General features: G+C 41.5%; 1 protein-coding gene across 8 annotated transcripts in view, besides 1 other annotated feature; it reads right to left on the reverse strand.

The window, feature by feature from the left end:
* SCYL3 (SCY1 like pseudokinase 3) overlaps positions 1 to 22,662 on the reverse strand; it is a 44,638-nt gene that overhangs the window by 11,716 nt on the left and 10,260 nt on the right. For all 8 annotated transcript variants that reach the window (XM_017001863.2, XM_011509801.2, NM_020423.7 and 5 more), the window contains 8 exons: positions 17,288 to 17,473; positions 14,632 to 14,745; positions 12,350 to 12,406; positions 8,909 to 9,011; positions 7,582 to 7,693; positions 5,550 to 5,627; positions 3,023 to 3,162; positions 1,267 to 1,451 (listed from right to left, as the gene is read on the reverse strand). In XM_017001863.2, the coding sequence (XP_016857352.1) occupies positions 1,267 to 1,451; positions 3,023 to 3,162; positions 5,550 to 5,627; positions 7,582 to 7,693; positions 8,909 to 9,011; positions 12,350 to 12,406; positions 14,632 to 14,745; positions 17,288 to 17,473 (975 nt within the window). The remainder of the gene's footprint in view (positions 1 to 1,266; positions 1,452 to 3,022; positions 3,163 to 5,549; positions 5,628 to 7,581; positions 7,694 to 8,908; positions 9,012 to 12,349; positions 12,407 to 14,631; positions 14,746 to 17,287; positions 17,474 to 22,662) is intronic.
* Positions 18,055 to 18,104: an enhancer, noted in NCBI's record as "active region_2080". NCBI's record gives its function as "activates an Ori minimal core promoter by ATAC-STARR-seq in GM12878 lymphoblastoid cells {active_cell/tissue: GM12878}" and the evidence as "EXISTENCE:reporter gene assay evidence [ECO:0000049][PMID:35858748]".

Below are 22,662 nucleotides of genomic sequence, written 5' to 3' on the forward strand. Positions count from 1 at the left end.
TTTAAGAAGTCCACCTGCCTTGCTAGAGAAATCATGTGGAAATGTCACATGGGGGGATACAAGCCCCCCAAGCTTCCTGAAAATTCATGGAGAGAAAGGCGCAGCCTCTCAGCCACCCCTTCCAAGATACCAAGGAGCCATTTTGGATGTGTCAACCCTTGTCGGGCCCCAGATGACTGAAGACTCAGCTGATATGTGGAACAGAACCTTCAGCTGAGTCCAGTCAATCCAAAGAATCATGAGAATTAATAAAATGATTATTATTTTAAGGCACTAAGTTTTGGGGTACTTACATGGCAACGGATGACTGAAACATGTCCCACTTATGAGCTCCTTGAAAGCAGAGAGAATGTTAATCTATCTCATAGGAAAATTATTTGAAAGACACCATGTGATTGTAGTCTTTTAAAACAATTTTTTTAAAACCTCATACTAGGTTGAATAGTGTCCCTCCAAAATTCATGTCCATGCAGAATGTGACCTTTAGATGAGGTCATACTGGGTTAGGGTAGGCCATAAATTCAATGACTGGTGTCTTTCTAAGAGGCCATGTAAAGACAGACAAGGAGGTAAGAAGGCCACGTGACAACAGAAGCAGAGACTGGAATGATACAGCCACAAGCCAAGAAATACCAAGGATTGCTGGGAGCTACGAGAAGCTTGTAAAGAGGAGTCCCTTTCACATCCTACAGCCTTCAGAGGAAGCAGGGTCCTGTTGACACCCTGGTTTTAGACTTCTGGCCTCCAGAACTAAAAATAAATTTGTATTGCTTTAAGCCATTATAATTTGTGATAATTTGTTATGGCAGCCTAAGCAACTAATACAAACCTTTCATTAGTTTCACTAACAAAACCCTTTGGTGGGCAAATCATAATAAGGTTCCCTAGTGGCTGATAACAACAGGCTGAAAGCCACTGATAAGAATCATCTCATGCTCCTCTCTGTTCTAATTTAATTACTTTATAATAATTATGGATAATTATATGTTATGTTCACAAAGTGCTCCATACATTATTGTTATTCATTTACCCTCCCAAAATTAACAAACAATTATAGTTTCTCCCAGGTTAAGACCAAATATGTCAGTTTAATCAATTTGCCTGTGTGAATGGAATGGAAATGCAATTTTAATTTCAGCACTTTGTATTCCACAGACTGCTGCCTGAAGGCTTTCTAAGCTATTATCTGAATACCTCCAAAACTCTTTCTTTCAGCACTCTTCCCTCAGGTTCTGTGACTACCCCACTGCAAACTTGGCCTCTGACCTGTGGCAAGATGACTTTCTTCAGCTGCTCCTGAGTGAAGTGCTCCACGTAGGCCTCGATGTGAGACAGCAGCACCATCCGCACATGCTCTTCATGAACTTCAAACAACTGGAGAAGCACGGGGATCACCCGTGACTGGAACAGGGCTGGTGAGAGCAAGCAAGGAGTTTCTCCCTGCGCATGATCTACCCGAAAAATCAAAGGTTACAGATGAAAAAACAAATTTTCATTTCAGTGAAAAGTATTAAGCATAATTCATACACTGAACCCAAAACTACACATATTCTAAGTACTCTTCTAAATTCTTTTTTTCTTTTTGAGATGGAGTCTCACTCTGTCACCCATGCTGGAGTGCAGTGGCGCGATCTCGGCTCACTGCAACCTCCTCCTCCCAGGTTCAAGCAATTCTCCTGCCTCAGCCTCCCGAGTAGCTGGGATTACAGGCACCCGCCACCATGCCCGGCTAATTTTTGTATTTTTAGTAGAGATGGGGTTTCACCATGTTGGCCAGGCTGGTCTCAAACTTCTGACCTAGTGATCCACCTGCCTCGGTGTCCCAAAGTGCTGGGATTACAGGCGTGAGCCACCGCGCCCGGCCAGTATTCTTCTAAATTCTAATGCTCCAAACCAAAGCAAAGTTCTTTTCTTGACCGAAAATTACTTAACGCTTAATTATGTTAAGTACACTTACCTTGTAGAGTTTTTGAAATACTAGAGATCATAGTGTACAACAAAGCTTGTATTTTAACAGAATTCTGAGTAACTTTTTATAAATTTATGTTTAATCAGTGAGGAATTTCATACACTAGATTTGTGACATACTGATATTGTTGTAGTTTTATTTGCAAAACCAGGTGTTAAATGCTACAGTGGGACTTTGATGCTGGATACTCCTCTTTTTCCAGTATTTATGGTAGTGGTTATCAGGCAGGTATGTATTGAGAATTATTTGGGAACTTTTAAAAAATATGTATACCTATGTCCTGGCTCTCTGTTCTAGAACCAATGGATCAAGCAAAGAGGCAAATTTTCAAAAAGCAACATAGGTGATTCAGAGGCACACCCCTATGTAAGACCTACTGAGGAATAGGATGTAAGAGCTATAAAGAAAAATTCATGGCTAAAGAGAATGGTATCAAAGTAGAGATATAAGGAAATTCTAAACTGTAACAATGCTTTGTTGGACTGAGATCCCTTTAAGAAAATAAATTCTGAAAGCAGGATTCTACGTAACTTAAAATTCTAGTGTCATATTAATACTATATTCTCTCATCTGTTGTTACCATCTCTAGTGCTATAAAATTGTAAAATTCCAAAGCAATAACCTCATTTCACATTCGTAAAAAAAACTTGAAGCCCCAGGAAGTAAAATGATCTCAGTGCTTTTCACTGAAAATAGAAAATAAATGGGTTGCTCTTGGTAAGGTAGGAGGCACAGGCCTAAATGATTCATGATAAATGTAAAAGTTCTTTGAAGATGCATGCCTTACCTTAAAACTTCAAATGTATATTTCAGATTCTAGTCAGATATAACACTTACTATAGTAAATTGGACTCTCTAGGAAGATGCTTCATTTATCCTGTGAACTCTGGTACCCAGGTTTGAATTAAAGTTATCACATCAGGGGCCAACAATTGTTCTCCGTTTTTAGAACCAAACATTAACTACACCACACAGTAATCTCATCCTGCTCAAATATGGACTAATAATCACCAAACTTCTTAACTAGCAATAACACTTTGAAAAAGCATTCACCTTTTTTGGGGCCAAGCAGATAAGGAAGAAAACTCTTAACAGCCACTGGCTCTGCAAACACCAACTGATTAAGCAGAAGAGGCACCAACCTTGAAGCTATCAATTCCTCTGACAAGCAGCTGACTCTGTCCAGCAGAAATCTGAGGACAAAAAGGGAAAGCCCAGGAAACTGGTCATGACACTGTATCAGCTTACTTGTACAGTTTAGCCTACACACATCCTCTCTCTCACTTCTATCAAAGTGATGCATTTGAAATGGAGATAGAGAAGGTGAACAGATTGGTCCCCAAGTACTTAAGAAAAATGCGTGGCTGGGTGCAGTGGCTCACACCTGTAATCCCAGCACTTTGGGCGGCCGCGGCGGGCAGATCACTTGAGGTCAGGAGTTTGAGACCAGCTTGGCCAACATGGTGAAACCCCATCTCTACTAAAAGTACAAAAATTAGCCGGGCGTGGTGGCAGACGCCTGTAATCCCAGCTACTCGGGGCTGAGGCATGGGAGGCTGAGGTTCAATCGCTTGAAGCTGGGAGGCAGAGGTTGCAGTGAGCTGAGATCATGTCACTGCACTCCAGCCTGGGTGACAGGGTGAGATTCTGTCTCAAAAAAAAAAAAAAAAATACAGAAAGTGTGAGCAAAGCCAGCTAGTCAGCACACCTCCAATTCACACCAGGAAATGTTTCCACCAAATTATCCCCTTACTAATAGTCAAAGTGCCCTCCTTTTTACCCTAAGAAGACAGGCTTTGTAGATAATAAAAGACACTTTCTCAAATTTAAACAATGTAGAAAGCTTCCATAACTAACAAAACATAGGCTTTTGTCACTATCCCCATAAATTAAAACAACATATATAAAGGCACTTTGTTAAGAAATACAGATATTAGGTATTAATGGTAATATTACTCCATTATACAATCACCCTTAGCAGATATCCTTGCCTCCTACTTTATTAGGAAACAGGTCACATGCATTATCACCTTCAAACCCCTACACCGCTATCAGCAAACAGGTTTACATTGATACTCATTCCCACCTCCCTTCTAGTTATTAAGGATCCGAGGGCCTCCTCTTACTTAAGGCCACCCCCATCCAGCCACTGCCCCAGCATTCCCCTCTCTTCCAGGACAATGCACCAACCATCTCCCCAACTTGATTGCAGCTTCAACTGCTCCCTCCATTCTTCTGCTAGCTCCTTTCCCTCGTCTATTAATATGCTCAGGTCTCTTCCACCCTTACAAAATCCTTCCTTGACCCCATTTGCTTCTTCAGTAATATTTTCTCTCCAAGTTTTTCTCCAGTGTCTTTCTCACCTTCTGTTCACTTCTCAGCCCAATGCACTCTCACTGCTGGAACAGCTCTTGCTAAGATAAAGTTACCAGTGTCTTCCTAACTACTAAATGAACAGGTACCTGTTCGTTCCTCCTACCTTCGTGAAATTCCCTACTCCTTTGGGAATATCATAGCCTTCCTAGCTCTCTGAGTCTCCTCTAACCCCTGCTTCTCATTCATCAGCCACTCCTTCCCACCAGCCCCCTTATAAGGTCGGGTGCCCCAGGATTACAATTTGGGCTCACTGTCCTTTTCATGCTACCCACTTTCTCTGTGAAAATATCACCAACTATAGGCTGATAACACCCTAATATTTCCCTCTAGCTCATCAGCTTAAGACTTCTCTGAAGCTTCAGACCTGTCTGTTCAACGGTCCATGTATATCTCTATCTAAAGTCCAACAGATACTTCAAACCAACATATCCAACACTGAAGTCATAATTTTCCCTGCATATTAGGTCCTCTCCTCCAATATTCTCTATTTCATTTGGTGATAATCACTAAGGCTTCTCAGCTTTATCTTTTTAAATGTTTATCTTAGTGTCTTCTTCATTGGAGACATTAATGCCCTTATGTGTGGCTTCATATTTACTGCCTGGACTACCATAGTCACTAACCAATCCAAATCTTAAATGAGTTAAGCCTTCCCACTCAATAGAGAACAAAGTGATCCACCTAAAGGGACATTAATCTGTTTCACAGCCTGCTTCCATCTCTTTGATGGCTTCAATGCCTGAAGTCCCCTATTTACAAATAACATCAGCACTCCTCACTGCCACATGCAAGGTGTACCTCCTACCTGTCCTTGTCTTGGAATTTGTCCCCCAGCAGGACTCAACTGTTTGCGGTTCCTGCACAAGTCACACTAGGTCTTGTCTTTGTGCATTTGTTCATGTTGCCCCTCTGCCTAGAATACCTTTTCTCTAACGACCTCCTCCTGCCCTGTGTGTTCTCAGGACTCCTTCCAAAAGCTCTACTGTACCCACCTCTCTGTTTAAGGATTATCAGTCTGGGTATCTATTTCTTTCACCAGAAATATCTACCCCACCAGGGCCTAGCAGAAAGCCTGACACATAGGAAATGTTCAATAAATGTGAAATAAACCAAATATATGACTCATCTTCTCTAGAATACCTAAAGTGATTATATGGACTTAATCCAAGTTATTCAATTTAAATTCTTAATTTTCTGAACTTACTTAAAGAATTCCGTTTTCTCCTCTTCACTCTTCAATGTTAAACTTTTCAAGAAATTCACAACTTCCAGAAAATCATTTCTAAATGCCAAAAAGAGAAGGAATTCAGCAGAACAGATTAGAGAATGTTAAATATTGAGGTCATAATCACAGACTACATCAATATAATTTTCAACCAAGAAACATTCTCCTTTGCCATTTAAAGATTCTATTACAACTAAGTAGCTTATGAGACAAATACTATGGAACACGCCTCTGAAATCTAATATTTTAATAGCAAAGAGATCTGTGACGAGGATACAAGTTTAAACACACATATGCTAACATGCTTTATGGTTTAGTCAGAAAAATCCTCCAAACTGTTGGTTGTAATAGGATGTTAAATGAAGTATCCTGGGAGAAATGACATTACCATTACAAAATATTGCTGACTCTCAAGTCTCCTTTGATGAAATAAAAACTATTAAAGAGATTGTGGAAAGTGGAATTTCCATACAGCAATCTTCTCATTTCTCCTGCTGTAAGTTACTTGGTCATTCTTTCAGCCAGGCAGGGATTAGTGTGAGAGGAGTGGTCGGTTTCCTACAGGGCTGCCAGAGAATTCCAAAGGCTGTGCACTGCTCAGCTCACACCCTACTGTATATGAGACTGTTGACCCCAGATGCTCCGGCATACAAGCTGGACAGCCTATTGGGAGGCCCAGTAAGCAGAGATACCACTTGGATCTTCACATCTTATGTTTATACCTACTTTAGGCTTCCCCCTGGTTCAGCAGCAAAGATGTCTAAACTTAAATCTAATCAATCAAATTGGTTCAGCTGCCTCTGTAAGAGATGCTGACCCTGGCTCCTACTGTTGTCTCTTAACTGGGGTTTCTCCCCACATTAACAGTGGGATTTTGGCAGGTACGGTTTGTGTGTTTTCAGTTTTCCTCTCCCCTCTCAATTTACAATACAACTCTTAATAAATAACTCATTTTACACAGAGTGATGAGAGAATCTATTTACCATAAGGGATTGTTCTTTGTAGAGACTTTCTATCAAGGGAAATAAAATATTTCTAAGAATCATCCAAAAGGGCATAGAAGTACTTTGGAAAGACTCTCATAATGATAAATATAAAATTTGTATTTGTCAATTAAAAATACAAATTTTTAAAAACATCCTCAAAAAAGACGATCATAATGGGAAAGTTTTGAATAGTTTGAAATATGACAATATAAGCCCAGTAACCATAAATGCTACTTATTTAATAAGATTACCCTTCCCCACCTACCCCTAGTTCTATCCTAGAGGTAATTTTCCCCACTTGGGAATAATACTAGCCTTCCCTTTGCTCTGGTTTTTCTCAAGCTCTAAATGCAAACACATAGGATTTTTAGTTTTAAAACTAACATAAGGTTGGCTTTGCTAATAGAAGTCATGAATATGGAACTAACCTGTGCAGAAGTTCTGCAGTCATGGAAATAAAAAAATGAAGGACACATAATTAAAACTAACCTTGAAGAAGGGTTCAAAAATATCTCTGAATCTAATAAGGTATTAAATTATATTGTGCCCTTGCCTCTAAACCAACTTATTTGCTCTTCCATCACATATTACTAGACAAAGAATATGAACTCATTCCCCATCCCCATGAGAAAAACTGAATAATAATAAACTCATAATATAATGGCAGCAGAAAAGAAAGGCTAGGTTTAGTAACTTTTTCAATTAACTTACAACTGTAAACCAGTGGACACACCTAGCTTCTTCACTATTAGAAGCCCTAATAAATCTGGCTACAGTTTCTAAATCCAAGCCTTCAAGACAATCAAGGATTTCTAAAACTTCCTATCTATAATAGGAAACTGACAGACAACCCAATTTCTTCCTCTATTTTCTCCTGTGGACATGATTCAATCTCTCCTAATAATTAACAACAGAAACTGCATCATTTGGTCCTCCAAAAACCCCCCACTGCCACTTATCCAAGGCACAAGAGCAGGCAGCAGTGTTCCGGAAGCAGCTGGCGTCACCACACCAGATGCCCTCACCTGAAGAAGTCATGAGATAGTAAGGTGCAGAGCGCTGGCCGACATTTTGGAATGGGATTCAGCAAAGTTGAGTGCAAGGTCTGTTGAAAGCTGGAGAGAACATCCGCTGAAACTGAAATCCAGAGCTACAGTTAGTTTCCAATGCCTTCTCCCTCTTTTCAGGACCTCTATAGCTGGAGACTGCCGAGAGCAAAAACCAACCTGTAAAAGCCCAAACAAACAAAGCCCTGGCTGTTGCTAAACAGCTTCCTGCTTGCCTTAGGCAAAACTCATTGGCAGGTGTAGAAAGTTGTCCTGCCACCACCATCAAACCCCACCCCAGGTGCCATTCCCTTCTATACCCTCTCATTTCCTGATTATCCATTTAACCCAGCTCAGGCCCAAAGAAGAAGGGCTAACAGTGATAGGTTTGAGGGTCTTTCTCAACAGGGGTTCCTCATCCACAGAACAGTTATATGAATGATTATATTTACAATTCTTCCAAGGATAGTAAATAATTGCTACCATTCTAAATACATAGAATAGTTAGTTCATTATACACAATGGATGCCTTTGGGCCTTAGGATTTAATTCTCAAGTATTTAGGATGGGACAATTTAGAGCTGACAGCTGAATCAGAACACTGCATAAGCCTGGCAGAATAAACCGCATTAGAACTGGCACAAAGCTTGAGCCATGTGAGATGTAGGCCAATAAGGGGCCTACTGTGACACATGCCTCAGTAAACTCAATGAGTGGAAAATTAAAGTCCTAAAGTGGGCACAGGAGAGTGAAGCAGGCTGCCAAGCATGCAGTTAGAGAACACAGAAGAGAGGAGAAAACAATGTCTTTAGCAGCCTGAGCTTTAAGAGGCAATGAAAGAAAAAAGTGAAGAGTAAATTAATAGGAAAATAAATCAAATGAGCTTTGAAAGAATAAAGAAATGTTGAGCTCAATTTAACAAAAAATTATGAATTTTACCCTATTATTCAGATTATTACATATAAATCATTAATGATAGTTATGTACTTATTGGCCGGTTCAATAAGGAATAGAGTCTACATTTAGACCGCTTAAGTACTATTACCAATTAATAAGGTAATCACACATGATACTGACAGCCATAGTTCAAAGTGCTTCCTACTTAAAATTCTTTTCACCATGCAAACTAATGAAACCCAAAGCTTCTTTCCTTACTGTTCTTAGTATCTGCCCTAAAAAAGTTACCTGGTAAGCAAAAGATTCCTTACTGTGCTCAAAGACTGTAGTCCTTTGAATTCCACACAGAATACGTCATGGATGATTTTCCTACTTATTCTATAGATGCAGTAGTATAACTCCAACTCACCCTGTTCATTTAAGATTGTGAGCAAACTTTCCACCAATGTTCCAAATGAAAAGGCATCCCGGGCATGTCCATGACACTCTGGGAGAGTTGTGAATTCTGGAGACTAAAAGCAGTGAAGACAATTAAAACTAGAGGATCTGCCTTATAAGCCATTTCTAATTTTCTCTGAAGCACCTTCTCCCATGTTTGTATTTATTATACTCAAATCTATCTTCAGACCACCACACATGAATGTATAGATTCTTAACACTATTAGTGAATAGAATTTGTTGAAGATTGTAAAACATTAAAATGAGCAAAAATTTTTAAAAAGGTTAGAATATGGCACATGTCGGTGGCTTTTACAAATATTTTCACAGCAATCCATGGTAAAGAATATGTCTTATATCATGCTCTACTATACATACACGTGCATAAATACACACATAATGGAAACAAAAGTTTCATAAAACAGTGCTTAGCCTTACTATCTAAGATGCCCAAAGACATGTTCTTTTATTCTTTTTTTTTTTATAAAATGCTAGTCAGGACCCCCTAAATTGACTTAAAACCCGCAAATCACCGATTTTAAAAACACTAGTATATATACATAATACTGATTTGGATAAATCTGATTTATTTCAAGTCTTAGGTCTATACTTAAGTTTATAGTTGAGTTCATATTTCCTGTAAAGCACACTAAATATATCTTTGGGGATTATTTATAGTGGCTATAAGAACAAATTTATAGAAGGAGCATCTGCTTTTGAATTTATTGGTAAATAGAATTTTTCTTTACCAGCACTCTTAATAATCATTCTTCTGTGCATCTTGAAATCCTAAGTAATGGGCAGCTAGAGATAGATGAATGGTTTGGGTGACATACAAGAAAGGACTAGGGTTTTTGCTTCCATAATTATTATGGATTCCAGCAAAGTGCAACTACTGATAATGGTTTCACTGTTTTCCCACCCAAATCTCATCTTGAATTATAACTCCCACAATTCCCACGTGTCCTGGGAAGAACCAGTGGCAGGTGACTGAATTATGGGGGGCAGGTCTTTCCTGCCCTGTTCTCATGATAGTGAATGGGCCTCACAAGATCTGATGGCTTTAAAAAAGGGGAGTTTCCCTGCATAAGCTCTCTTCTCTTGTCTGCCACCAGGTGAGACGTGCCTTTTGCCTTCTGCCATGATTTTAAGGAACTCCCCAGCCACGTGGAACTTTTGTAAATTGCCCAGTCTTGGGTATGTCTTCATCAGCAGCGTGAAAACAGAGTAATACAGTAAATTGGTACCAGTAGAGTGGGGCGTTGCTGAAAAGATACCTGAAAATATGGAAGGGACTTTGGAACTGGGTAACTGGCAAAGGCTGGAACAGTTTGGAGGGTTCAGAAGAAGACAGGAAAATGTGGGAAAGTTTGGAATTTCCTAGAGACTTGTTGAATGGCTTTGACAAAAATGCTGCTAGTGATATGAACAATAAGGTCCAGGCTGAGGTGGTCTCAGATGGAGATGAGGAACTTGTTGGGAACTGGGGCAAAGGTGACTCTTGTTATGTTTTAGCAGAGACTGGTGGCATTTTGCCCCTGCCCTAAAGAACTGTGGAACTTTGAACTTAAGAGAGGATTTAGGGTATCTGGCGGAAGAAATTTCTAAGCAGCAGAGCATTCAAGAGGTGACTTGGGTGCTGTTAAAGGCATTCAGTTTTAAAAGGAAAACAGAGCATAAAAGCTTGGGAAGTTTGCAGCCTGACAATGCAATAGAAAAGAAAATCTCAGGTGACATTCAAGGCAGCTGCAGAAGTTTGCATAAGTAATGAGGGGCCAAATGTTAATCCCCAAGAAAATGGGGAAAATGTCTCCAGGGCATGTCAGAGATCTTCATGGCAGCCCCTCCCATCACAGGCCTGCAGGCCTAGGAGGAAAAAGTGGTTTCATGGGCGAGGCCCAGGGTCCCCATGCTGTGTGAAGCCTAGGGACTTGGTGCCCTGCATCTCAGCCGCTCTAGCCATGGCAGAAAGGGGCCAACGTAGAGCTCAGCATGTGGCTTCAGAGGGTGCAAGCCCCAAGCCTTGGCAGCTTCACATGGTGTTGAGCCTGCAAGTGCACATTAGTCAAGAACTGGGGTTTGGGAACCTCCACCTAGATTTCAGAAGATGTATGGAAATGCCTGGATGCCCAGGCAGAATTTGCTGCATGGGCAGGGCCCTTATGGAGAACCTCTACTAGGGCAGTGTGAAAAGGAAATGTGAGGTCGGTGCCCCCACACAGAGTTCCTACTGGAGCACTGCCTAATGGAGCTGTGAGAAGGAGGCCAGCATCCTCCAGATCCCAGAATGGTAGATCCACTGACAGCTTGCACCACGTGCCTGGAAAAGCTGCAGACATTCAAGACCAGCCTGTGAAAGCAGCCAGGAGGGAAACTGTACCCTGCAGAGCCACAGGGGTAGAAGCTGCCCAAGACCATGGGAACCCACCGCTTGCATCAGCGTGACCCGGATGCGAGACACGGAATCAAAGGAGATCATTTTGGAGCTTTAAGATTTGACTGCCTCACTGGATTTCACACTTGCCTGTAGCCCCTTTGTTTAGCTAATTTCTCCCATTTGGAATGGCCGTATTTACCCAATGCCTGTACCCCCATTGTATCTAGGAAGTAACTAACTTGCTTCTGATTTTACAGGCTCATAGGTGGAAGGGACTTGCCTCATCTCAGATGAGACATTGGACTATGGACTTTTGAGTTAATGCTGAAATGAGTGAAGACTTTGGGGGACTGTTGAGAAGACATGACTGGTTTTGAAATGTGAGGACATGAGACTGGGGAGGGGCCAGGGGAGGAATGATGTGGTTTGGCTGTGACTCTCATCTTGGATTGTAACTCCCACAATTCCCATGTGTCATGGGCAGGAATTCAGTGGGAGGTGATTGAATTATGGAGGTAGATCTCTCCTGTGCTGTTCTGGTAATAGTGAGTAGGTCTCACAAGACCTGATGGTTTTATAAAAGGGAATTTTCCTGCACAAGCTCTCTTCTCTTGTCTGCTGCCATGTGAGAAGTGCCTTTCACCTTCCGCCATGATTGTGAGGCCTCCCCAGCCACATGGAACTGTTAGTCCAATAAACCTCTTTCTTTTGTAAATTGCCCAGTCGCAGGTATGTCTTTATCAGCAGCATGAAAACAGACTAATACAACTACTTATCGTGAAATGGGTATAATTGTCTGTTCACACTGAGGTATCTCTACCTCTAAACAATATCATAGGTGTTTATGTGACAAAAAAATTTAAGCTGGCTCCCTGGCTGTGGTGATAAGATTAATCTTAGAAAGCTTTAAGGCCAGAGGAATTATGAGGCATCTATAACTCAGTAAAGAAAGGAGTAAGCAGAGGAAAGTTTTTTAAAATTTCATACTCAATTACACAAAGGCACCTTCATTATATGTGAAGTATATCATCTTACCATCTCTTCAGGAGGGATAGATGCTGGGTCTCTTATTGACTGAATACTCCTCAGAAACTAGACAGAGAAATAAATTAAAGAAAATGATTCATACATATGTTTGGTGAACTAATCTCTTACATCAGGTTACATAAGCAATGAGCAATGCAAACAGCACCAATTAAACCTTCAAATCAATGCCGCATATTAGATGCACAAATTTAAAATGCTTCTAATTTTAAAAATGCAAATAAAGTACCTGGCACAGCACAAGGCACAGTAATAAATGGTAGTTCCTTTTCCTCTCCCCTTCATCTGGTTTAACAGACACGCTCTGCTGTTCAGAGGCATCTGTGCATCTGATTTCCTTATATGGAAATTAGAACACTTCTTTCTTTTCCTGCTTAGATATTAACAATAAGAAGGCTTTTCTAGCACAGAACAAATCTGTCATTAATCTCACTAAACCAAATGAATCTTAAGTCTTGCTACCACACGAGATTAGAAAGTTGAGAACCTTAGTTATGGAGACAAAACCAACATCCACAGAATAAGCATATTAATTTGCTAGTTTCGAAGACTATTTTTGAAGAGCCTATATGTCCCGAACATCATTTAGGACACTAGGAATACAAGATGAATGCAATAAAGTTTCTGCCCCCAATCAGGTGCTCATAACCTAGAATGTAAACTAAGAATCTCCATAAACGTGCTAAGTGCCCTGGAAGCACTGGGGTGACTAATTTTGTTGGGCAGGGGAATGCCTAGGGGAAGGAGTCACAGAAAGGAGATTAAAGCCAGATCTTAGATGAGTTCACATTTTCCAGAAGCCAATGGGAAGAAATGCATTCCAGCAACAGAATGGCCTACAAAGAAGAAGAGTGTGAAGGAAGAAGGCATATGTGGGAACACAGCTGAACTGCATGGAACAAGATGTAACCAGACTATAGCTCAAGAACTCTTGAGTGAGGCCAGGCTCGGTGGCTCATATCTGTAATCCCAGCACTTTGGGAGGCTAAGGTGGGCAGATAACCTGAGGTCAGGAATTTGAGACCAGCCTTGGCAACACAGCAAAATCCCATCTCTACCAAAAATATAAAAAATTAACCAGGTGTGGTGGTGTGCACCTGTGGTCCCAGCTACTCAGGAGGCTGAGGTGGGAAGATCACTTGAACCAGGGAGGCAGAGGTTGCAGTAAGCCGAGATCGCACCACTGCACTCCAGCCTGGGTGACAGAGAGAAATTCCGTTTCCCAGCACTCCCCAGAAAAACCTAAATGGTAAATGAGGCTGAAGGTAGGCTGCAGAAAGATTGTGAAGGGCCTTATATCCCATGGCAAAGAATTTGGAATAAACAGCACAGAAAGGATTACATGCTATATACAAAGTACACAAAAGGTAAATTCAGGGAAGAAAGAGATCAATATGGACAGAATAACCAGAAAGATGTCTTTGTGGTAGAACATCTGAACTGAGCAAGAACCCATGAAGGTACACGTTAGACATGGCCCAAGTTAAGTGTGGAAGCAGCACAAAAAAGAATAGGGGAAATTAAGCTGAAACAGTAAGTCAACAGTGAGCCACCATTTCCGTAGGGATATTAAGATGGAAATGGTTTTTATTTTTTCCTTAAGAAAGAGTGAATGCAGCAGCAACACGCAAAATGTGAAAAGAACACACAAAACAGAAAACAGAAAGGTTCATCAACCTGGGAGGGAAACATGCAGAACTCTCAGACAAAAGTATAAGGAATACTACATCAGCAACAACACAGTCCACTAGGAGTTAAGATGCACAGGTCCTAAATCCCGCTACTAAGATACCATGTATGAAATTGGGCAACTCGGACAATTGTTCAAAGAACATTTTCTGAATACCTAGTATGTGCCAGGCACTATTCTAGGTAGAGGTATAAAGATAAGAGACTCACACCCTTAAGAGCCCAACCAATGGAATACAAGACAGATACATAAAGGTAATTTCACTATCAAGTGGTATGATCCAAGTAAGTACAAGGTACTATGGGGCAGAGAGGAGGGGCATTTAACTCAAATATCTGAACGAAACATTTTACCTCTCTCCGTCTCAGGTTTCCCTATTTATAAAATAAGGAGAAAGGATACATGACCCCCACTGCCTCTGAGGAACAAAATGCTATAATTCTATAAATGAGGGCACTGACAAAAAATTCAAGTCTCCAAATCTAAGACCAAGCTAACACTGAAGGAAAGTGCCTAGGCAAGAACCACATACCAAGACGCTATTAAAAACCAAGTAAGGAAGGGGGGCTGTCCCCTGGCTTACCTCTGGTGTGGCCTGAGAAACTTTACAAACAGTTTCCATTCCTCCTAGCTTCCAGTGTCCATCTTCACTCACAAACACAGATGATAAACAGACATTATTGTGTGTTAGGTGTCCCTGGAAAAAAAAAAGAACAGAAGGAAGAGTGCCACTCCAGGATCTGAAATAGAAATTTACTTCAAAAGATGTTTTTCTCCATCTCTCACAATCTTTATTTTAAAAAACTAAATACTAATCACCAAAAAAATTATGACAAGCCTTCCCACTTGTGGCATAATAAATGGAACTATAACTTTAAGAAACAACAAATTGAATGAAGTTAGATAAAAAGAAAAATGGAATGGAAGGGCTTCTGTTATCTCCCCCTGCCTCATGTGGCAGGTTAATAAACACATTAAAGCCAGTGCACACAGTCATCTCCCGATTTCTATGGGAGTCAGGGGATATACATGTTCTTAAACATACATTTACAAGTCTGTATAATCTATATTATTTGCTTCCAATGCCTTTAAAGATAAAATATATCTTTGCTCACATAGGTTATTTTATTTATTTTCTTCTCTAAATTCTTTCTCACCCACATTCTATCACGAACCCAGATCTACTTCATCTGAAATCTTGTTAGTAGGCATTAAAAAAATTCTGCCTGAAGAAGAGGAAAATGGAATGATAAGGACCACCAGAAATATCCCACAGACTGGCCAGGTGCAGTGGCTCACGCCTGTAATCCCAGCACTTTGGGAGGTCGAGGCAGGCAGATCATGAGGTCAGGAGATCGAGACCATCCTGGTTAACACGGTGAAACCGCGTCTCTACGAAAAATACAAAATATTAGCCGGGCATGGTGGCGGGCGCCTGTAGTCCCAGCTACTCGGGAGGCTGAGACAGGAGAATGGCGTGAACCCGGGAGGTGGAGCTTGCAGTGAGCCGAGATCACACCACTGCACTCCAGCCTAGGCGACAGAGTGAGACCTTGTCTCAAATAAAAAAAAAAAAAAAAAAAAAAAAAAAAAAGAAATATCCCACAGACCACAAAAGAGCCCATTTTAAAACTGTAAAAATAGTACAGTCAAATAAGTAAAAGAAAGGGAGAAAATAAGAACAGGATTCAGGTATTTAAGTTTTTTTCCCCAAACCAAAAATCATTTCAGTGATAAAAAAGTATGTTTAAAGTTATTATGTATGTATGTAATGTATGTATTTATTACAGGGTCTCTGTTGCCCCAGCTGGAGTACAGTGGTGTGATCACAGCTCACTGCAGCCTTGACCTCCTGGGCTCAAGCAATCCTCCCACCTCAGTCTCCGGTGTAGGGGGACTACAGGCATGTGCCACCATGGCTGGCTCATTTTTTGAAATGTTTTTGTAGAGATAGGGTCTTGCCATGTTGCCCAGGCTGGTCTCAAACTCCTGGGCTCAAGCGATCCTCTTGCCTTGGCCTCCCAAAGTGCTGGGATTACAGGTGTGAGCCACTGCGCCTGGCCAAAAGAGCACTTTAAATATTCTACCCAATACATCAAATGTGTAAATATTTTTATAGAGAATACTCCAAAAGATAAATATTTTTTAAAGGAAGGTTTAGAATAGTGTGTATAGTATATCTCCATTTGAGAAAAAAATGAAAGAGAAGAAGTATACACACTAGATATTTGTTTTATATGCACAAAGAACATCTCTGGAATAATACACGAGTTACCACCATTGCCTCTGAAGAGAGGAATTAGGGCACTGGATTCAAGGATGGGAGAGGGACACCTCACCCACATACTGTACAAACTTTTTAACCATGTGTATGCACTTTTGTCAACAAAGAAGATATTTCTCCCCACTGAACCACTAATAATTCTCGTTATCATGCGAACTTGTAAATGCACTTTTAAGAGACTATAAATCCAACATGATATTTGGAGAATCTGTCTCCAATTAATTGAAAAAAATTTAAAAACATACATAAAGATGAGTCAAGTCCAAGTGTTTCTAACCTGTGACTAGTATTTTTTAATCTTGGTGGACTGCCAAAGACCTTAATGCCTCAGAATGCAAATACCATTAAGAAAACAGTAATACTGTCAAGAAACAGACCAGAAGTAAACCTAGGAACCATCTTCTAGTAATAGCAAATATCATCAGAGAGCCAAGCACACTGGTTACACCACAGAATGTTAAGAGGCTGTCTCTCAATTGGCCCCAACTACTCAAATGGGAAAGGAAAGGATATGTATGTATTCTGCCTCTTCCTAAGAAATGGTCATTTCTTTCTTCAAAATCTAAAATGGGACACAACTCCTGAAAACAAATAGGAACTTTGGTCTATGGCAGCACTGACATTACACCTTTTCTTTGTTTTAGTAACTCATGCCAGCTGTAGCTATGTTTAGGCAAAGAATTATCCAAAACTAGAGACAGACTATAGTAAACTAAAATAAAATTCTATAAGTAACTGTCCAGGGACACAGAACTAGTTGTCCATTCTATAAAACCTCTATCTATAGCACCTCTTGTGCCTTCCAACATGCTATTTTTCCTCAGGAAGTTTTCTAATAATAACACTTAACTTACAATTTCTATGAACACCATAATTTATAAGTATTACCACACACATCACCCTCCCACCCCCATCTACATCAAAGTCTGTGATGCAGACTATACAGGTTACTTACTCTGTCATGAAGGAAGATAAGAGCCAGCAATATGTCATAGATCCCAGCACAGACCTCTGCAGAAGACAATGTTTCCAAAGCCACTTCCAGGGGCTGTACTCGCTCAGTGACAAGATGAATGCCATCCGCTTCCACAGTACAAGATAAAAATCTTAGCAAGCAAGGGTGACGAAGTGTCTTCAAATGCTTTAAAAATACAAACCGAAGAGCTGAAGTTAATGACCCCAAACCAGATTATAGTTTCATATACATTATGGGGGAAATCAGAAAATGTATACTTGCAGTTAAGGCTCTTTTGAGCTCCCTACCTTCCTCCCTACCCACTATATTTCACATAAGGCAAAGATCTATTACTTGTTCTGACATCATTCAATTTACTAATATTTAAATGGCTCTACAGAAATTTCCAGTTCCATCATTGTAGTGTAAGCCTCATAAGAGCCCAGATCCCTCAACGATTACTGCTATAAACTGAACAAAGTGCCAGAAACAACTGAAATCCTGACAAGTAAGCAAATGCAAACAGATTATGGAGGGGAGTCAAACCTGAAGAAGCGACACCCATGGGGTAAGTTTCTTGGTTTGGGGAAATTTTCCCCTTCTCACAGCTATGCATGGTGACAGGCCCCAGTTGCAAAGCAGTGTAACAAAGGTGCTAAAAGTCCAGTAAAAACTTTACCATCTTTCTGGCTGAAAGAACGATAGAAAAGAACCAAGGAAGGTGAGTATGAGGAGGGTATCCCAGAGAGGAGAGAGCTGGAGAGATGTCCTGATTTTTCACATACCCACAAATTCTCAGAAGCAAGCATCCACTGGATAGACCCAAACCAGCAGAGCAAAGTTTTGAGAAACAGACAGGTTGCAAATACCATTCACAGGAAGAGTAAGAGGAACTAGTTCAAAAACATGAGGCCTGAACCTAAATTAGCTGCCTGCTAAATAAAAAACATCAGCATTTTCCAAAGGATTATAACAGAGCAAAGAGTTATGTGACATCGTATTCAAAATGTCCAGGATGCAACCCCAAACTACTCAACATACAAAGAACCACAAAAATGTAACACATTCTCAATGGAAAAGACAACCAACAAACACCACTCCAAGGGGCCTCAGATATTAGAATTACCAGAAAGAATTTAAAGCAGCTATTGTAATCATCCTCCTAGAGATAAAGGAAAAGTTATAAAATAAATAGAAAAATTTAAATTTCCAAAAGAAAAATAAAAGATTGAAAATCAAAAATTAATGTATAGACTCATTAACAGAATGAATATGACAGAATACAGAGTCAGTAAACTTGAAAATATTAACCAATCTGAAGAATAAAAAATGTTTTAAAAAATGATCAGAGGGGCCAGGTTTGGGGACTCACACCTGTAATCCCAGCACTTTGGGAGGCCAATGCAGGAGGATCACTTCAGCCCAGGAGTTCAAGACCAGCCTGGGCAACACAGTGAAATCTCCATCTCATAAAGAAAAATTAAGAAAGAAAAAAAAGAGACCAGAGCCTCAGACACCTGTGACAATAACAAAAGGTCAAATAAATATAACTGAAGTCCCAAAAAGAGAAAAGAAAAAAATTGGGGCATAAAAAATACAATGGATGAAAATTTTTAAATGGATGAAAATACTTAAAGTATTTAGCCAAATTTAAATTTTACAGACTTGAAGAATTTCAGTGAATATAAAACAAGATAAATTTTTTAAAAAGCACACTTAAACATATTACCATCAAACTGCTAAATATCAAAGATAAAAAAATCTTAGAAGCAGCTAAAGGAAACACATTACATGGAGGAGAATGATGATTTAAACAACTGCAGACTTCTCATCAGGAAAGGTGGAGGGCAAGAAACAATGAAACATGTTTAAAATGCTGAAAGAAAAAACTATCAGCTTGGAATACTGTATCTAAGCAAAAGTAACCTTCAGAGGAAAAGGCAAAATAAAAGCACTTTTGGTGACAAAAAAAAAAACAGAAAATTTCTTGCCAGAAGACCTGCTATATAAAAAATGCTCATGAAGTTCTTCAAATGGAAGAAAAAATGATACCAAAGGGAAACTTGGATCTTCAGGAATGATGGAACAGCATCAGAAACAGTAAATATTACAATAAATATGAAGGCCACTTTTTTTTTTTTTTTTTGAGACGGGGTCTCACTCTATCTCCTAGGTTGGAGTGCAGTGGCGCAATCTCAGCTGACTGCAACCTCCGCCTCCCGGGTTCAAGTGATTCCCCTGCCTCAGCCTCCCGAGTAGCTGGGACTACAGGCTTGCACCACCATGCCCAGGTAATTTTTGTATTTTTAGTAGAGACAGGGTTTCACCATGTTGGCCAGGCTGCTCTCGAATTCCTGACCTCGGGCAATCCGCCCACCTCAGCCTCCCCAAGTGTCGGGATTACAGGCGTGAGCCACCGTGCCCAGGTGAAGGCCACATATTTACCTCTTCAGTTATTTAATCGCTATTTAAAGCAGATATTGTAATACTTCCTGGTGAGGTTTTCAATGTGTGTGAATGAATGTACAATTAATATGTAACAAAGAATGGTAGGGATAGGAGGCTGAAGATACCTACATTACAAGGCTTCTACGTTTTATGTGACATAGTACAATATTAACCACAGTAGACTATTTTTTGCCCTATTTATTTTTAATTTTCTTAAATTAAAAAAATTGATAATATGCATATTTTGGGGGAGTACCTGTGATTTTAATACTTTCGTAAAATTTGTAAAGATCAAATCAATGTAATTGGGATATCCATCACCTTAAACATTTGTCTTTTCTTTATGCTAGAAACATTAGAATTAGTCTCTTCTAGTTATGTAAAAATATACAATCGATTACTGTAAACTAGTCATCCTACTGACCTATCAAACACTAGATCTTATATCTTCTATCTTGTATCTTCTAACTGCATATTTGTACCCATTAATCAACCTCTCTTCATCCCCTACAATCCCCTACCCTTCCTGGCCTCTGGTAACCACCAGTCTACTCTCAACTGGTATGAGATCAACTTTTTTAGATTCCACATGAGTGAGATCTTGTGGTGTGTGTCTTTCTGTGCCTCATTTACATCACTTAACACAGCGGTCCCCAACCTTTTTGACACCAGGGACCAGTTTCATGAACACAATTTTTTCATGGACCAGGGGTGGGGGGATTATTTCGGGATGAGACTGTTCTACCTCAAATCATCAGGCATTAGTTAGATTGCCATAAGTGCACAACCTAGATCTCTTGCATACACAGTTCACAATAGGGTTCCTGCTCCTATGAGAATCTAATACTGAGAGGTGACAGCGTGCTGGCAGTCCTCACAGCCCTCGCTCGCTCTCGGCGCCTCCTCTACCTGGGTTTCCACTTTGACGGCACTTGAGGAGCCCTTCAGCCCACCACAGCACTGTGGGAGCCCCCTTCTGGGCTGGCCAAGGCCGGAGCCGGTTCCCTCAGCTTGCAGGGAGGTGTGAAGGGAGAGGTGCGAGCGGGAACTGGGGCTGCCCACGCAGCTTGTGGGCCAGCTGGAGTTCTGGGTGGGCGTGGGCTTGGCAGGCCCCCCACTTGGAGCAGCCGGCAGGCCCTGCCACCCGGGGCAATGAGGTGCTTAGCACCTGGGACAGTGGCTGCGGAGGGTGTACTGGGTCCCCCAGCAGTGCCAGCCCACCGGTGCTGCACTCATTTTCTCGCCGGGCCTTAGCTGCCTTCCCACGGGGCAGGGCTCAGGACCTGCAGCATGCCATGCCTGAGCCTCCCACCCCTCCCTGGGCTCCTGTGCGACCCCAGCCTCCCTGACCAGCGCCGCCCCCTGCTCCACGGAGCCCAGTCCCATCGACCACCCAAAGGGCTGAGGAGTGCGGGCACATGGCGTGGGACTGGCAGGCAGCTCCACCTGCAGCCCCAGTGCGGGATCCACTGGGTGAAGCCAGCTGGGCTCCTGAGTCTGGTGGGGACGTGGGGAACCTTTGTGTCTAGCTCAGGGACTGTAAATACACCAGTCAGCACTCTGTATCTAGCTCAAGGTTTGCAAACACACCAATCAGCGCCCTGTGTCTAGCTCAAGGTTTGTGAATGCACCAATCCACACTCTGTATCTAGCTACTCTGGTGGGGACTTGGAGAACCTTTGTGTCCACACTCTGTATCTAGCTAATCTGGTGGGGAGGTGGAGAACCTTTGTGTCTAGCTCAGGGATTGTAAACGCACAAATCAGCGCCCTGTCAAAACAGACCACTGGGCTCTACCAGTCAGCAGGATGTGGGTCGGGCCGGATAAGAGAATAAAAGCAGGCTGCCCAGCCAGCAGTGGCAACCCTCTCAGGTCCGCTTCCACATTGTGGAAGCTTTGTCCTTTCGCTCTTTGCAATAAATCTTGTTGCTGCTCACTCTTTGGGTCCACACTGCCTTTATGAGCTGTAACACTCACCGCGAAGGTCCACGGCTTCACTCCTGAGCCAGCGAGACCACGAACCCCACCAGAAGGAAGAAACTCCGAACATGAGAAGGAACAAACTCCAGACACGCCACCTTTAAGAACTGTAACACTCACCGCGAGGGTCCGCGGCTTCATTCTTGAAGTCAGTGAGACCAAGAACCCACCAATTCCGGACACAATACTGCTGCTGATCTGACAGGAGACAGAACTCAGATGGTAATGCTCGCGTGCCCACTGCCCACAGCCTCCTGCTGTGCCATCCTGTTCCTAGAGGCCACGAACCAGTACCAGTCTGCAGCCTAGGGGTTGGGGACACCTGACTTAACATAATGTCCTCTAGGTCCTAACATGATATTAAAGCTCTAGGGTCTACCCTATACAATCACTGAGGAAGCCCTGTCCAATCAGATTGGGAGGAGAGTGATGAAATATTTCATTTGGAAGATAACCCTCAATATATTACCAGGTGGCATTTTCATAAATAAGCAGTGAATACTGAACACCTTCTTGGAGGACTATGGGCTAGCATAAGAATCCATACCCTGCATTGGTATAATTTTTGTATCAGATGCCTCAAACTTTATTAAACTACTTCCAGGCAGGGTCATAGGAAAATCTTCTCAGTGGGTTGGTTTCTCCAATTACATTTTTTTTTTTTTTTTTTTTTTGAGACAGAGTCTCGCTATGTCACCCAGGCTGCATTGCAGTGGCACAATCTTGGCTCACTGCAACCTCCGCCTCCCAGGTTCAACCAATTCTCCTGCCTCAGCCTCCCAAGTAGCTGGGACTACAGGCGCCCGCTACCACACCCAGCTAATTGTTTTTGTATTTTTAGTAGAGATGGGGTTTCACTATGTTGGCCAGGCTGGTCTTGAACTCCTGACCTTGTGATCCACCCACCTCGGCTTCCCAAAGTGCTGGGATTACAGGTGTGAGCCAC

The sequence above is a fragment of the Homo sapiens genome, chromosome 1 (assembly GCF_000001405.40).
Source record: "Homo sapiens chromosome 1, GRCh38.p14 Primary Assembly".
Taxonomy (NCBI): domain Eukaryota; kingdom Metazoa; phylum Chordata; class Mammalia; order Primates; family Hominidae; genus Homo; species Homo sapiens.